The sequence below is a fragment of the Homo sapiens genome, chromosome 9 (genome assembly GCF_000001405.40).
Source record: "Homo sapiens chromosome 9, GRCh38.p14 Primary Assembly".
Classification (NCBI taxonomy): Eukaryota; Metazoa; Chordata; class Mammalia; order Primates; family Hominidae; genus Homo; species Homo sapiens.
The window spans coordinates 1,651,135-1,668,798 of NC_000009.12; positions in this window are offsets into that span (position 1 = coordinate 1,651,135).

Here is a 17,664-nt window from a genome sequence, read left to right on the forward strand (position 1 = left end):
TTGTTTTAACTGGCACCCAAAGGGAGGGATCAGTCCATTGTCAGGGCAACTGTAGTGTAGGGAAAATAGAAGTGGGATATGATTCAACTCAACAAAAATCCTTGCTCCCCAACCTACTAATTGTTTGACTTAGGTAAGTCACTTACGATCCCTGAACCTGTTTCCTATTTAGCAGATATGCATAACAATGGTTATGAAGTTGCTGTAAGGATCAAACAGGATAATTCATATAATGATATTAACATATATTTATTGAAAACTTACTGCATCTACTGTTTTAAGTCTTTTAGGTAAATTATTTGTCACAACACCACTCTTTCAATGAATACTATTATTTCCATTGTAATCCTCAATATACAGGTGAGGAAACCAAGGCTCAGAGAAGATGTAAGAATTTGCTCAGCTTTACGTTACACAGCTGATAACAAAGCCAGGATTCAAACCCAGGCAGTCTGGCTCAAGTGCTTATACCCTTAGACAGTGAGCTATATGGCCTCTCAAGTAAAATCCCTTATTGGGTTCTAGCTCGTAATGGTGCACAGTGAAAAGTAGTTCTTATTATAGTTAATGCCTGTAAAATGCAGTCATTAAAAACCACCTTGCAGGGCTATAGTAAAGATAAATGAGACCTGTATATCAAATTACATGACACAGACCAGCCTGTAATATATGCACCACATCTTGTGGATTCCACTGTTTATAGCACAGAGTAAAATAAAGGAGCTAAGCTGGGTGAAGTTTAGAAAACACCCAGGGCTGCATCCTGGGGTATAACAGAGCACTTGAGGCCACTGTCGGTTTCAGAGGAGGAGAAGTGAAGGCTTCTGTTGAATCCCTTCTGCTATCCTATTCTAGGGCTTCAGCAGATGGGAGCTCCAACTTCTAGCTATTCATCAAAAATATCTTCTCTGACCTGAAATTGCCACTGCAGGTAGGATTCCATGGTAGAAAATGTCTTGTGCTACCAGTAAAGGGAAAGGAAAATGATTGGATACGTTTTAGTGCCAAGAGGAAAGAGTCTGTGGAGAGATGGTTATAGGAACAGAAAAGAAAGGGACTAGTTGAGTATCGCAGTTAAAACAAAGGGCTTTGGATTTCAACACACTTAGATTCTGTCTCCAACTTAGCCACTTACAGTGTTTCATTGCATTTACACTCTCCAAGATGCTATTTATTTATCTCTAAATGGGTATAATAATACTTTCTGCCTCATAAAACTATTAGGAAGATTAAAGGGAATATTGCATCTAAATTATTTAGTGCTGAGACCAGCACACAATGAGAACTCAAAAAATATTAGCTTGTGCTATGATCCTGGAAGGTGTGGAGGTTGGAGCTGCCTGGAATCTGAATTTGCCATCAATATAGGTGAACCAGAGCATGGAAAGGGATACTAAACTCCGAAAACCCTGCCAAAGAGGTGCAAGAGAGCCCCTGTGGGTCCCAGCAACCAGAACTGCCTATCAAAGGGAAAACCCGCATCCTACCAGTTCCAACACATGATGATTTTACAACACACTGTTTATTAGAAAACTCCTGGCATTCATGAGACCAAGATAGAAATTGACAGGCTAAGAGTTAGTCTGAGCTTAAATTCAAGGAGTTTGTCAACTCAAGCCATGAAAAACCCTCCTGTATAAAGGTAAATTCCATTAACGCCAGTGGCTGTGCATATGTGAGGGCGGGATGGGTGCCTCTTCATGTCATTTTTACATTTTCTGGCACTGCAATTTTTCTCCTTTTAAAGCATTCTTCTTAAAGACCTATGTGAGCGTTGAAAAACTAGACAGGAAGCTTGGGGAATATGAATACGTGTAAATAACAAGTCAGACTTTTTTAAGGATGTCACTTATTCTAAAGTGTGTAAGAATTACTTCAAAGCCATTAGTGTCTAGAATTCTCTAAAGGTAGAGACACGTCTTAAAAACACACTTTTTCAATCAGACTTTAATAGTGTTAAAGGCAAATCTTTTTTCAATGAGAAAGAAACAAAAAATATTGCTTTTGACCTGACAAACCACAACATTCGCCTGTAAGCTTTTCATAAGGATCTCAGACACAACGTCTTCAGGTGTTCAGCCATAAAGAGTTACTCTGATTAGAAATGTAAAGGAAAAAAAAAATTATTGCTGAATTGAGGTTCTATATTTGAGGGTAAGTCAAACCTTGAACAGCATTTATTGTTTGGATTTCGATTATTACAGATTTTGACCTGTTACTTTTGTGATCTGTGAAATCAGAGGCAAAGAATGATTCATTCTTCTTTCTTTTTTTCACTCATCCTCAAATCATGCGTTGGGCATCTTTGCATTGTAGTGTTCTCTAGATGGCTCCGTGCATGACACAAAACAAGAATAAATATTAAAGTGCCAGTGTTAAAGATTTTAAGTGAATCTTGAAAATCTGCTAGCCTTTAAGAGCAAACTTCTCTTCACCAAAGGATGACTTAAAATAAGAAAGGTAATAATGGTACGTCCCAGCTGTGTTTCATTCTGGCTGTTTTCACAAACTTCCCTCTTCTCTTGGTGCTTCCTTTACCAAGTATTTCAGAGAAAGCCGGTATCTGTTCTGAACTAACACCTCACCCTGCAAAGACTTAAAGGTAACTGTTTTCATTCTTTGCCCTTTGCATGCCCTCTGAAAAATTACAGCCTGATGTCAATTGCTTTGCATAGTGGATGGGAAAAATAGGTTCGAAAGGAGGAGAATCTTTGCTGGATTTAGATTTTTGCTGATTCTGGGAACTGGTCTAATTTCAAATTGCAAACAGTTGCCTGAAATGAAGTAAGTGTCCTCTTCTCTCTGTCTCTTTCTCTCTAATGTGAGGGCAATGTGAAGAAATAACTTTATCAGAAAAGTCTTCCCTGACATTTTTTTGTTTGAAACACAGGAGAGATTTTGTTTCATGCCACCAAGAATGGGGAAGGAGAAAGCCAGACAGAAGACAGGAAATAAGAGAGAAAAGGAGAGAAAGAAAAACACTGTAGAAACACGATGTGTTGTTCCCAACCTCTGCCCCAATGACATATTTGCTCATTCATTTGAACATGTACCTGGAATTAATTTTAGTTCCAGCAGACAAAGGAGAATAATACCTGGATGATTTCAGGCATTTATTTCACCTTGACCGTAGTTTGAATGAGTAGAAAATAACTTTCAGACCAGGCAACTTGGTTGGAAATGACAATTTTGTGATGCCTCTCTCAACCCTTTCCACCACTTTGTGAGAAACACTACTGTTGTCAGCAAGTGACCAGTTTGTGTGGTGAGATGATAATTAAATAATATTTCTGTTTCTCTGTTGGTATATTGAAGTATTTGAGAATGTGTGACATGTGATATGTTCATGGAAATTCAGACAAATTACAATTACTTCAATACAAGTTTGATAAAGCCATCTGAAAAACAAATCTGAAGATTAAATGAATTCATCTATGGGAAATACTAGAACAGAATGTGGAACAGAGTAAGTGTTCCATAGGATTAGGTGTCATTATTGTTATCGAGGCTTTCTCTTCTTGTCAGAAACACTATTTTGCTTTGAAACCGCATGTGTAAAGGTATTAGAAAAAACTGGAAAAACAAGTTGACTTTAAAAGGAATCTGAATGATCAAATTGTCCCAGGAGACAAAAGTAAGTTTTGTCTTCCACACACTGGAGATCTATGTCTGCCTGTGTTCTAAAGTCGTTTCTGATCCATATTCAGTGAAATGGATATTAACCTTGAGATGTGGTGAAAAAGATACAGGCACTGGTGTCCGACTCACATTCAAACCCTGCCGTATTCTTTGGGATTGGGGCAGATTCTTTATGTGTAATCCTCAGTAGCATCCTCTTGTTTTATATAATTTCAATATTTCTTTTAGATTCAGAGGGTACATGTGCAGGTTTGTAACCTGGGTATATTGTGTGATGCTGCGGTTTGAGGTACAAATAATCCCACGGGAATAGGTAGTGAGCATAATGCCCAATAGGTAGTGTTTCAGCCCTTGCCCTCCCCTCTAGTAGTTCCCAGTATCTATTGTTTCCATCTTTATGCTCATGCTTTATGCCAATGCTTAGCTCCCACCCGTAAGTGAGAACATGTGGTATTTGGTTTTCTGTTTCTGCATTAATTCACTCAGGATAATGGCCTCCAGCTGCATCCGTGTTGCTGCAAAGGACATGATTTTGTTCATTTTTATGGCTGTGTAGCAGTCCATGTTGTATATGGACTGTATATGTATATTATAAAGAAAATGTGTTTTCTTTATTCAGTTCACTGTTGATGGGTATTTAGGTTGATTCCATGTATTTGCTATTGTGAATAGCGCCGCAGTGAACATATGAATGCGTGTGTTTTTTGTTTTTTGTTTTTTGGTAGAATGATTTATTTTCCTCTGGATACATACCCAGGATTGGGATTGCTGGGTAGAATGGTAGTTCCATTTTAAGTTCTTTGAGAAATCTCCGAACTGCTTTGCACAGTGGCTAAACTAATTTATATTCCTACCAACAGTATATAAGTGTCTGTTCTCTTTTCTCCACAGCCTAACTAGCATCTGATGGTTTTTGACTTTTTAATAATAGCGATTCCAACTGGTGTGAAATGGTATCTCACTGATTTTGATTTGCATTTCTTTGATGATTAATGATGCATTTCTCTGATAATTAATGATGTTAAGCATTTTATAATGTTAGTTGGCTGCTTTTATGTCTGTCTTTTGAGAAGTATTTGTTCATCTCTTTTGCACACTTTTTAATGGGGTAATTTGTTTTTTGGCTATGAATTGTTGATAAGCTCCTTATAGATTCTGGATGTTAGACCTTTGTTGAATACATAGCATGCAAATATTTTCTCCCATTCTGTAGGTTGTCTGTTTATTCTGCTGATGGTTTCTTCTTTTGCTGTGCAGAAGCTCTTTAGTTTAATTAGGTCCCACTTGTCAATTTTTGTTTTTGTTGTAATTGCTTTTGAGGACTTAGTCATAAAGTTCTTCCGAAGAATTCTGATGTCCAGAATGGTATTTCATAGATTTTTTTCTCGGATTCTTATAGTTTGAGGTCTTACATTTAAATCTTTAATCTATCTTGAGGTAATTTTTCTAGATGGTGAAAGGTAGGGGTCCAGTTTTATTCTTCTGCATATGGTTAGGCAGCTATTTCAGCACCATTTATTGAATAGGGAGTCCTTTCTCCATGGCTTATTTTTGTTGCTTTGTCAAGATCAGATGACTGTAGGCGTGTGGCTTTATTTCTGGGTTCCCTGTTCTGTTTCATTGTTCTGTGTGTCTGTTTTTGTACCAGTACCATGTGTTTTGGTTACTGTGACCTTATAACTTAATTTGAAGCTGGTTAATGTGATACCTTTAGCTTTGCTCTTTTTGCTTAGGATTGCTTTGGCTATTTTGGCTCTTTTTTGGTTCCACATGAATTTTAGAATAGTTTTTTTTTCTAATTCTGTGAAAAACGATGTTGGTAGTTTAATAGGAATAACGTTGAATCTGTAGATTGTTTTGGACAGTGTGGCCAATCCGTAAGTATGGAATGATTTTTCCATTTGTTTGCACCATCTATGATTTATTTCGGCAGTATTTTGTAGTTTTCCTTGTAGAGTTCTTTTACCTCTTTGGTTAGATGTATTTCGATGTATTTTATTTTTTTGTAGCTATTGTAAATGGGATTGCATTCTTGATTTGGCTTTCAGCTTTAAATTTAATGGTGTATAGAAATGCTACTAATTTTTTTTTACATTGAGTTTGTATCCAGAAACTTTACTGAAGTCATTTATCAGTTCTAGGAGCCTTATGGCAGGCAGAGTCTTTAGAATTTTCTAGGTATAGAATCACATCATCAGTGAAGAAACATAATTTGACTCATCTTTTTTGTATTTTATTTGGATGCCTTTTATTTCTTTCTCTTGACTGATTGCTTTGGCTAGGACTTCTACTACTATGTTGAATAGGAGTGGTGAGAGTAGGCATGCTGTGTTCCTGTTTTCAAAAGGAATGCTTCCAGCTTTTGCCCATTCAGTATGATGTTGGCTCTGGGTTTGTCATAGGTGATTCTTATTATTCTGAGATATGTTCCTTCAATGCCTGGTTTCTTGAAGGTTTTTATCATTAAGGGGTGTTTGATTTTATTTAAAGCCTTTTCTGCATCTGTTGAGATAATCATGTGGTTTTTGTTTATGTGGTGAATCACTTTTATTGATTTGTGTATGTTGAACCAACCTTGCATCCCAGGAATGAAACCTACTTGATCCTGGTGAATTAACTTTTTGATGTACTGCTACTTTGCTAATATTTTGTTGAGGAATTTTTTGTCTATGTTCGTCAGAGATACTGGCCTGTTGTTTTCTTTTTTTGTTGTGGCTTTGCCAGGTTCTGGTATAAGGGTGATGCTGACTTTGTAGAATGAGTGAGGGAGAGTCCCTCTTCCTTGCTTTTTGGAATAGTTTCAGTAAAATTGATATCGGCTCTTCCTTGTATGTCTGGTAGAATTTGGCTGTGAGTCCTTCTGGTCTGGGGCTTTTTTTGGTTGGTAAGTTTTTTATCACTGATTCAATTTCAAAATGTGATATTGGTCTGTTCCATGTTTCAATTTCTTCCTCATTCAATCTTGGGAGATTGTGTGTTTCCAGGAATTTATCCATTTTCTCTAGATTTTCTAGGTGTGAGCATAGAGGTGTTCATAATAGTCTCTGAGGATCTTTAGTATTTCTGTGTAAGCCTCAGTGGCATCATCATCATCCCATTATTCCCAATAATGGGAATAATTGTCCTGTGGTTGGAGGAAAGATAACATGAAAACTAGTTACAGTTTAAAATGGATTCATTTAAATCAGTTGTGACATAAGCATATTGTTTGTCTTTTGAAGGACAAGAAAAAAATTACTAAATCATCTAGAAATATAGCCATTAAGGCCTTGACTTCTAGTCTTGGCTCTCTCTAGAATTCTTAAGGAATACATTGATCTGTTTGTTTACATTTCTATAGGAAATAAGGTGCTTTCTTTCAGTAGCTTTCTTCCCTTTCCTCCTACGTGGAAAGCCTTAGGAACTTAAAGGCACACCACGTAAGATTCCTGCCCTGTGGAATGCTAGGGAATCAGGTCACATCCTGACACAAGAGGAACTCTATTCAAGACATGTGCAAAGAGACATTGGAACATGAAGGAGGGAGCCACTGAAGCTGCCTGCAACAGTGAGAAAGCTTCAGGGAGGAGAGTTTGTAGAAATCTTCCTTTCATTCAGGAATGAAGGTGTCTTCAGGGGAAGAACATTTTTGGCTAACAAGGGATAATGAGTAGCATTATGCTGAGGACTGTATGTACCTGTTCACTAGCAGTATTGGTAAACAAAAATATTTGCTTAGATAAAAGACTGTATATCATAATTAGTATATAAAGCTGAGGACTGTATGTACATATTTACTAGCAGTATTGGTAAACAAAAATATTTGCTTAGATAAAACGCTATATCATAATTAAATAGTATTAGTATTATTCAAAAGCAAAATTAAAATGTTTAGAAATTTCATTTCCAATATGAATGGCAATATTTATTGTTTACTAAACACACTGTCCTGCATACTGTGTATGTTTTAACTCAGGATGCTATTATACCCATTTGACAGGAGAAAACTGAAGCAAAGAGATGTTAAGATGCTTGCCAAAGATTACACGTCTAGGAAGTGGAAAAGCAAAGATTTGATCCAAGACAGTCTGGCTCTGGAATCTAGGCTCGTATCCATTACACTCTACTTCCTCTACAGCAACAATCTGGAGGTTGAAATATCAAGGCGTTATTTCCAACGCTTTAAAATATTATTTACACTACAAACTAGTCTAGGTGATTTTCTAAAAACAGGCCTTCTCAGCTTTGCAGTCCTTGCCAAAGCATGTAAAATGTGAGTTTGGGAGATTTACCAAGAATTTGAAAATCACTTTCAAATTCCTTTGTAGAATTCCATGGGAATGGGAGAAGAGACTCCAGGTTCATTATTAAAAGCATTTGGCATTTCACCCACCTATAGTAAGGAGGACACTGAGCTAATTTCTTTCATGCTGACTTAAGTTAGCCATTTAGTCAATCAATCAATAGTTCCCTGTTGCAAGAGGCAATATGGTTGGATTTATGTTAAAAATTAACAGTAATGAAAATCAGAGGGAAGTTGGGTCCAAATGTTTTCCTCCTTTAAGAGTGACATCATTTTCCCCAGTGATAGCTTTTAAGCTCTCTTCCCCATTTATAGCTAAAGAATTTGGTTTGGTTGCTGTGACATTCAGGTTGTCATATTAAAAATATTATTATTATTTCATGACTTTCTAACTCTCGCTTTATGCTTGCTCAAACCCAGGGTGATGAACTCACTGCTCTGAGCAGCCTTGTTGTGGCCAGCTGCCATCCCTTTGAGGGTGTCTGGGCTCCTCCACCCGGAAACACCAGCATCTGGGAATTATATAGGGATCTCTTCTCTTCCATTTTTTTTTCCTCGTTTTCCTATTTACCTTTCTTTCTCTCCTTCTCTCCTTCTCTCCTTCCTTTCACACACTCCCTGCCAAATGCTCAGCTCTGCCTTTGGTTTTAAGAATGACCTTGATTACAAATGCCTGCTCAGGCAGGCCCAGCCTCCCAGACAGAAAACCTGCCGTGGCCTTGGCGGCATCTTCAGTGGTACCTCGAGCAGTGCCGGAGAAGCTAGGAATCTGCTTCAGCTCTTGTTTCTTGATTAGGCCCCGGAGCCAAGGCTTCCAAGAGGAGCCTCACTTGTCAGCTGTCAGTCAGGAGGCAGCCTGTTCCTCCCAGGCACTGCCCCTGCCACAGGGGGGTGACCAGACTGTAAAAATGAAATAGACTTCAGTAGGATGCCTGAAATTCATTTTCTCCCTCGGATGCTTTCATCTCACTCATTTCACTGTGTTTACAGGCCCACAGGTTTCCTGAGGGCAGCCGTGATTTAGATTTACAGTTCCCGAGGCAGTCTGATTCTGAGGAAAAGTTATAACACCTGTAATGTATTACTGTCTCCTAGAGGAGCAAAGAATGTCAGGGGCTGTGGAGGTTGGCTACCCCAGTAACTGCAGACTCTCTGTACTGCGGCACTGAAAAAATTGCAGCCTTCGCTGGACCAGCCTCGGCCTCTCTCACTGCCTACCTGCTCATAGGCACACAACTCACTCAAGTTCTTAGAGATCTGGGGTCTGTGTGTCAGGGCTGCATGGCCATTTCAATGTGTAGCTCTACAAGGCTCTGTGTAACAGAAGTCCAGCAGCCAAGTCCCTAAGAGTGGACAGGACAGAGAGAATTCAGATATAAGGCACGAAAACTAGACTGGATTTTGGGGGGAGTAGAAACACAAGACAATCTGGCTGAGATGAGAAAAGGGACTGCAGTTAGCAAACATAGAGGCTCCATGTTAATGCTTGCCTGTCTCGTTGATCTGTTTCACTTAAAATTGGTGCATCTTTGCCAGGACAAGGTAAAATCGTCATTCAGCTGAGCCTTCCCCAAGGAGTGTTGTCAAAGGGGTGCCTGCAGGGCCCTACACCAAGTGAGAGGAAGGCGAGCCTCTGCCCTGCAAGGTGCCACTTCTGGTCATTGTCCAGTAGAAATTCAGCTTCCTTGAGAGTCTGGCTGCTACTGCTGAGCTCAGTACCCGCTTAGGAACAAAACCACAACAAAATCACTTTCTGAAATAGAAGGAGCTGATGAACACTTGAAAAGTTGAACCGGGTTTATTCTATAGCTTGCCTCCAGCACAGGCTCTTGAACATGGAGTTCCAAAGGCTTCATTGTCCTTCCTCACGGTGCCCTGTCCTTGTTCTCAAAGATCCAGTCTGAATTCAATTCACTATTCCAGCTATGTCTGTATTGCTCTCACTTCCCTAAGGGTGGACAAGATCCTGAGACACTAATTTGCTTCTGTATTGCCCTTTCCCCACCTCCACCCCCTTCTTGTTTTGCTCTGCTGTCTAACCTGCCAGAGGGTCTGTTGGCTCTCACTGTGGGCTGCTCAGGTCAGTTAGCATGTGGATGATGAAATAACTGGACAGAAACCCACATTTACCTACAGAGTTAAATGTGGCTTATTAATAACAAAAATTTCTATAGCATCAGGAGACTGTGTCCTCCAAAACCCAATGATAATCTCACATTTTGAAAGGACATGATAGGTTCTAGCATCAGTATTTATCTTCCCCTTTTGCCTGATGGCAATGTTTAGGGAGAGCCCATGGTTGTATGTTCAGTAAATAATTCTTTAATTGGTGCTAAACTTTCTTTTAGACGTGATCCGGGATACTGAAGGAAAAATGTCAGTGACCCTTTAAATTTTAACATTTCAGTCAGGGGCAGTTATTAATTTTTAAAAAGTGGAGCCCTTTGAAGGACTTGCCAAGTGCTTGGGGATCTTAAAGTGAAATTTTACCATAAGGAGGACCAAAGACTAAATGTCAAGGTGAGCAACAGAAAGAGTCCAGCATCTGGCCAACTTCCAAGTCTGGAAGGTCCTGAGGTCCCACATGGTTCTGTAGATGCTTTGCTTTCTCCTTTTACTGGATGGATGCAGGGGAGAACCAGGCTCTAAAGGATGTAGAGTCACAGGATATAAGGAGCCTGGTCCCTGAATGACAGCATGGAGCAGAGACCTCACTGTTCCCCTTTCCCCTCACCTACCCTTAATACACACCCACCTCCATCCCATGTTGGACTCTGACGTGGGTGATAAATAAACTTTTATCGTGTCAAACCACGGAGGTTTTTGAGTTTATATGTGTTAGCAGTTAGTGCTACTTATCCTAATGAATACATGTCTCTTTTTGGACTCTGGATTCTGGGCCATGAAAATTACATAAAATATTCTTAGTTTCAGTAATTTGTTTGTACACGGTGACCTTTGAAGTTATTGTTTTTAATGTGGTATCACAAAAAACTCATTTTCTTTAAATATAAAATTTTAAAATTTATTCTACTCTTAAGCTGTATTAGGTTATGAAAATAAAATATCTCCACTTTACTCAGATAAGTGGAGACATATGTATTCATTCACTTAAAAAAAATGTATTGCCTTCCTAAACTGTGGCTAGCACTGTTCTAGATGCTGAGAACAAGGACAGGGCACTGTGAGGAAGGATAATGAAGCCTTTGGATCTCCATGTTCAAAAGCCTGTGCTGGAGGCAAGCTGTCAGAAGTGTCAGAGGTGATGGTGACTATGATGAAGTAGGCCCCTACTTTCATGGTGTTTGCACTCTAAGAGGGAAAGACAATAACTTGAAAGGTAAAAAAAATACATAATTTATAAAGTGATAAGCATTGTAAATAAAGTAAAGTGCTTGATAAATAATAAAGCAATAAGATAAAGAGTTCTGGAAGAGTTGCAGAGCAACATTCTGTCACCCCTCCTTTAACAGGCTGAAAGTGTAATTGATCTGTAGATCTTTCCATATAAATTGTAATTTCAAGGTCTTCTTTCTATGAAATCGTCTTAAGATCTAGACCCTCTTTCTTGGCGTGAGCCTAGGACATTTGTTTCTTCTGGAGTGGGCCCAGGAGATAGGCCAGTTCTCAGGTCATACCCAGTCAACCGGGCATGGCAACCCTGAGGAAGCTAAGCTTGCTTCTAGAGAACACAACAGCTTCTTATGAACTTTCAGACCAAGCTCTGGAGAGATGGGGAAGCACAAGGCTGGGTGTGTCAAGGCCCAGTAAAAATAAAAAAAGCTATTTTGTGTTGGACCAGATATTTAAAATACTTCAAGAGATGGGAATTCCATTATGTACATTGTAAAATTTTCTCAATTTTCAAATTTTAAGAAAATGGAGTAAATGACCAAAGTATAAAGTTAATTCAAATATTTTATTTCTCATGTATCTAATCAAAAGAACAACCTTCAAAAGATGACACTCAGTTAAACTTAACATACAATTAAATAGAACACCTCATTATTAGGGTAATTACTTAATATTTTACTCTAGCCAAATTCAGAAAAGAAACTTTAATGAAAAATTTTACTGGTTTAGCATTGATCATCATACAGGAATGATATAGGTCAAAAATTTAAAAAATAAAATAATTTTTCTTTTAATTAAAAACAGTTTTGGAACTTTATATCTCAATAAGCTTCAACATACCTTTCCCATCCACCCTACCCCCTATATTTTATTGCTAGTGATCCCTTTATTTTCTCCACCAATGCTGTTTTATTTTTGTTCTGGTTGAAGAGGTTCACCTTGCCAAAGAAGACAGGCAGGCTTATCAGTTTGGATAAATACTCCCAGAAGGATATGCCAATTTGCAAACACTAACATAAACTAAGTGTTCAGCAGAAGAAAGTGAGATTAAATTAGGTGTATTTTGCTTCCATTCAATTCAGTTTAGAACATTAATAATATTAAGAGCATTTCCTATTTGCTGATATGTCATAAATAAGATAGTTTAAAGATATTACAACATTCTTAAGGAAAAATTGCAGGTATGAATAATAAGAGCTTCCATTTATAGTAGGGTTTATATGGGCCAAACTTTGTGCTAAGCACTTTGTGTGAATTATTTTCTTTAAGGATAAAGAAATTGAGGCCTGAGAGGTCATGTAAGTTGCTTAAGTTTACATAGCTGGAAAGTGGCAGACCCAGGACATCAATAACCTAAGACAGCCTGGCTCCAAAGTCCATGCTCTTAAATACCATATTTCCCATAATGAAAGATCAACAAATGTCAAGTCATTCTTATGATGAATGGTGTATTCTGAATACGTATACTGGAAAAACTCCATATTTTTGGACCAAAAAAATCCACTTTACTTTTCATAACAAGGGCTGTTGAAATGCAGGTGTATTATGGCCATTCTACACAGGACTTTTGACAAACAGATCGTCTTCGTTCTGAATCCTCAGTGTTGATTTTCCTTCCCCATGGACATGTGGCTTGGGATTTATGTGATTTTTCTTTACCATGTTCTATCATGGCCAGATCTCACCTTAGCTGACCCTGTTCTCCAAATTATACAGAGGTCTGCATCTTATGATGACAGCAAACTCAGGGAGAAAGGGACATTTAGAGAGAGACGCTGGATAACTTCCCTAAAGATACAGGTTTCATTTTTATTCTCCCACAAGATGTTACTGCCATGATAGCACTCTGGGATGGCTTGGGACAGCTACAACAGAATTTCTTGCTATTCCTATATTAAGCATGTGTTCTCAGAAACAGCTGGTGTGTTACAAATGCAACTGAGTGCCTTAAGAAGTGGGATGATTGGAATCCCACTCCTAAGCACACAGGCTGTTGATGTTTGAGATTTGGTAAATGAGATAGCAGGAAGGGGTATGATGGGACCTGACAGGGTGGAGTGTAAGAGTAGGAGCCAAGCTCCATGCCTCCGCAGACTTTGTGAACCTGTGTCTTTCACCTAACATGGACTGTGGAGGACTGTTGTGGGAAGTAGTTAGTTTATATTTGTCAATCAGTTCTCAGATCTTTGCAGTAAGATGTTGGCTGAGAAGAATGCTTTGTGACAATCTTCGTGGACAAACATGGATGGCATATGGATAGCTGTGAGCAGTCATTCTTCATTTCTTCTGAGATAAAATGGTCAAATTAGTGTGGGAGGACTTTTTGTTCACTTAGATATTAGGAAAATACCCTAACCTTAAGGCACATATTGGCAGTAGATGCTGCATCATCTTTGTTTAAAATAATCACAACTAACAATTATAGAATGGTACATAATTTCAATTTGATTTTATATGCATTGTCCAGTTCATCTTTCAGCAAACAGTTAAGTGGGTAGAACAAGTATTACTGTTGCTGTCCTCATTTTAAAGACCAAAAAAACTGAGAATCAAAGAGGTTAAGTGACATGCCCAGTTCATTTGCATAAGAAGTGGTGTTATGTTCATTACTCTCCACCCTTCTTCCTTTTGACTCCCTACTTTTGGGGTCCAGGAAAGTGTGTCCCTGGTTCTTCATTTACCATTTGATTATTCTTCCTCAGTATAATTTTTTGGATTTTTTTTCTGTCTTCTCTGAAGTATTGGCATTCAAGTTTTTCATTTTCTCTTTCCCTTCTCTCCCTTTTTTGATAAACAGTCCTTGGAAAAGCTCATCCATCCTCTTTAAAAAACAAAGATTGGTTTCCTCAACATTCATTTCAACCTCTTCCTATTGCATCTTTCCATACAATAGAAGTTGCGAAACTAAAAAAAAAAAAAAAAAAAAAAAAAAAAAAAATCACATTTCCCAGACTCTCTTGCAGCTAAATTTCTGGGTACAGAATAAGCTTCGCCAATTAGAAAATACGTAAGATTTTAACGTCTTTATTGAGATATAATTCATGTAACATACAATTCATGCACTTAAAGTGTATAATTAAATGGCTTTTGGTACATTCATAGGGCTGTGCAACCACCATCATAATCAAGAAAATATGTAAATTTTGAAAGACAAAAGGCCAAGGCCATCTATTTGCCACTTCTGATTGTCACTGCTGGTAAGCACTGGGTTTTCTTGGCACCACTTTTGTAGTATCCAGTCACCAGCTTCTTATATGGCAACAGGCATTTGCAGCAGCAGTGGTGGCTTCCTGGTGACTTGATTGAGCCTCCTAATTATTATGGCAATTGTAGCTTTCCTGGCTTATTATTTCTGCAGCCATTTTCTAGGCATTATTACCGAAAATTCAACTTAGAACCTGCGCCTTCGGCCTTTCCAATGATTTCATAAAACACTTAACCCCCATATTAATTTCCTTGCTGAATAAAGTAGCTAGAGCGATTTGTTACAAATTAGTTGATTTGAGCCCAAAGTTTTATCTTTAACTTCTAACATTTTACTAATCTTCTCCTATCTTGAAAGGCATTCATAGTCAACATGCCCCCAAATGAACTCATTATCCTCAGTCACAGACCTTATCTCCTTCCTGATTCTCTACCTCGGTGAATAGATCTACCTGATAGCCCATTAACCCTGCCAGTAACCTTGGAGTTTTCCTTAACTACTTTCCCTCAAATCTCCCCTTTCATTTTTTACAATTAGTTAATCAGTTACCAAATCCCAGATCTCAGGCTTCTCTGTCATCTCTACAACTGCCTGAACCTCTATTCTCTGTTGCTCAGATTGTTAGGAAGAGTAGCTTCCTATTTATTCCTCACTAGCCCTTTTCACCCTCTCAGATCATCCCACATGGAGGCCAGAGTGATCAGTCTAAAACAGTGGTCCCCAACTCCGGGGCCATGGACTGGTACCGGTCTGTGGTCTGTGGCCAGTAAGGAACCGAGCTGCACAGCAGGAGGTGAGTGGCAGGCAAGTGAGTGAAGCTTCATCTGTATTTAGAGCCACTCTCCATCACTTGAATTACCACCTGAGCTCCACCTCCTGTAAGATCAGTGGGGGCATTAGATTCTCATAGGAGCCTGAACACTACTGTGAACTGCACATGTGAGGTATCTAGGTTGCCTGCTCCCTGTGAGAATCTAATGCCTGGTGATCTGAGGTGGAGCTGAGGTGGTGGTGCCAGCTCTAGGGAGTGGCTGCAAATACACATTAACATTAGCAGAAAGGTTTGACTGCAGAGACTATAATAAATCAATTGCTTGCAGACTCATATCGAAACCCTGTCAGTGAGTGGCAAGTGACAATTAAACTGCATCTTGTGGCAAGCTTTATAGTGGCAGGTGAGTTAATGTGCTTCAATTGTACAACTGCATCTGGTGGCCTTAAAAGTATGTCTAAGATAACTTCAAATCTTTGTATGTTCTGGATTAAAGTTGAGGCCTTAAAAGTATGTCTAAGATAACTTCAAATCTTTGTATGTTCTGGATTAAAGTTAAGGCAGACTATCCTGAGATTGCCACAAAAGCAGTGAAATGCCTGCTTCCAATTCCAACATCCTATCTTTGTGAAGCAGGGTTTTCTGCAGTGACAGCAACCAAAACAAGATTACAGAGTAGACAGGACATAAGCAATACACTTTGGGCGTCACTGTCTTCCATTGCCCCCAGATGGGACCATCAGTCTAGTTGCAGGAAAACAAGCTCAGGGTTCCCACTGATTTTACATTATGGTGAGTTGTATAATTATTTTGTTACATATGACAATGTAATAATAGTATAAATAAAGTACACAATAAACCTAATGAGCTTGAATCGTCCTGAAACCGTCACCCCGCGCCCAGCCATCCCCCTTCCTGTCCCAGTCCCTGGAAAATTGTCTTTCACGCAACTGGTCCCTGGTGCCAAAAATGTTGGGGACTGCTCATCTAAAGCACCGATCTCATCATGTCATGTTCTTTTTTGAAATCCTTCAGTAGTTCCTCTTGCCTAGAAAGTAAAGTGTATGTAAAATTTAAGTTTCCTTAACATAGCATTCAAGGCCCCTTATGGCTTGGCCTCTGTTTAGCTCTCCAGATCCTTTCTATGCTGTTTCTTATTTTTTCGTATTTTGTACTTTAGCCATATTGAACTATACACCATGCCTTTTAATGCTCTCTTATTTTTGAGTATGGAGTTTCTCAACCTATTTTACTGATGAATTCTTTTTTATTTTATTTATTTATTTATTTTTTGAGACGGAGTCTCGCTCTGTCGCCCAGGCTGGAGTGCAGTGGCGCCATCTCGGCTCCCTGCAAGCTCCGCCTCCCGGGTTCACGCCATTCTCCTGCCTCAGCCTCCCCAGTAGCTCGTACTATAGGCGCCCACCACCACGCCCGGATAATTTTTTGTATTTTTAGTAGAGACAGGGTTTCACCACGTTAGCCAGGATGGTCACGATCTCCTGACCTCGTGATCTGCCCGTCTCGGCCTCCCAAAGTGCTGGGATTACAGGCGTGAGCCACCGTGCCCGGCCTTTACTGATGAATTCTTATTTGTTATTCAAAAATCCTACTCAAGTGTCATCTTTGTGACTATGAAGACTTTGCTGATCAACTCCCCTAAATGCCCCCCCACATACAATTCAGTATAATCAATCATTCACTCCTTTCTTCTGTTTGCTGCTTTCTATTGTTGCCTATATTTCAAGTGTCATGTTTGTTTACCTGAATTCTCTCCCACTAGTCTGGTGCTGTGTCTCAATACCTGTGGACCCCAAGTGCCTAGCGTAGAGCCTGACACAGAGTAGATACTCAGAATATATTCGAAGAATTTAACTACAATGGAACCCAGTCCCAGACCCAGTAATCTTTGACCAAATGTTTGAGATAAGGTGGATAAGCCAAGGCACTCTTCTTTAGCAATTCTACTTTTGGGTATATTCACTTCCGAGTCCAAAAAAAAAAAACTGAAAGCAGAGATTCAAACATATTTTGCACTAATATTCATAGTTACATTATTCACAATAGCCAAAATGTGGAAACAGTGTAAATGGCCATCTACAGATGAATGAATAAATAAAATGTGATACACACATATGATGGGACATTATCCAGCCTTAAAAGGGAGTAAATTCTGACGCATACTACAACATGGCAAGCCTTAAAGACATTGTGCTATGTGAAATAAGCCAGACACACACACAAAAATATTATATTATTCTACTAAGATACATATAGTAGTAAAAATTCATAGAGGCAGGAAGTAGGATGGTGCTTATCAGGGCCTTAGGGAAAGGAGAATGAATCAAGGCTTCAATTTAGGATGACAAAATGTTCTGGAGGAGGATAGTGGGGGTGGTTGCACAACAGTGT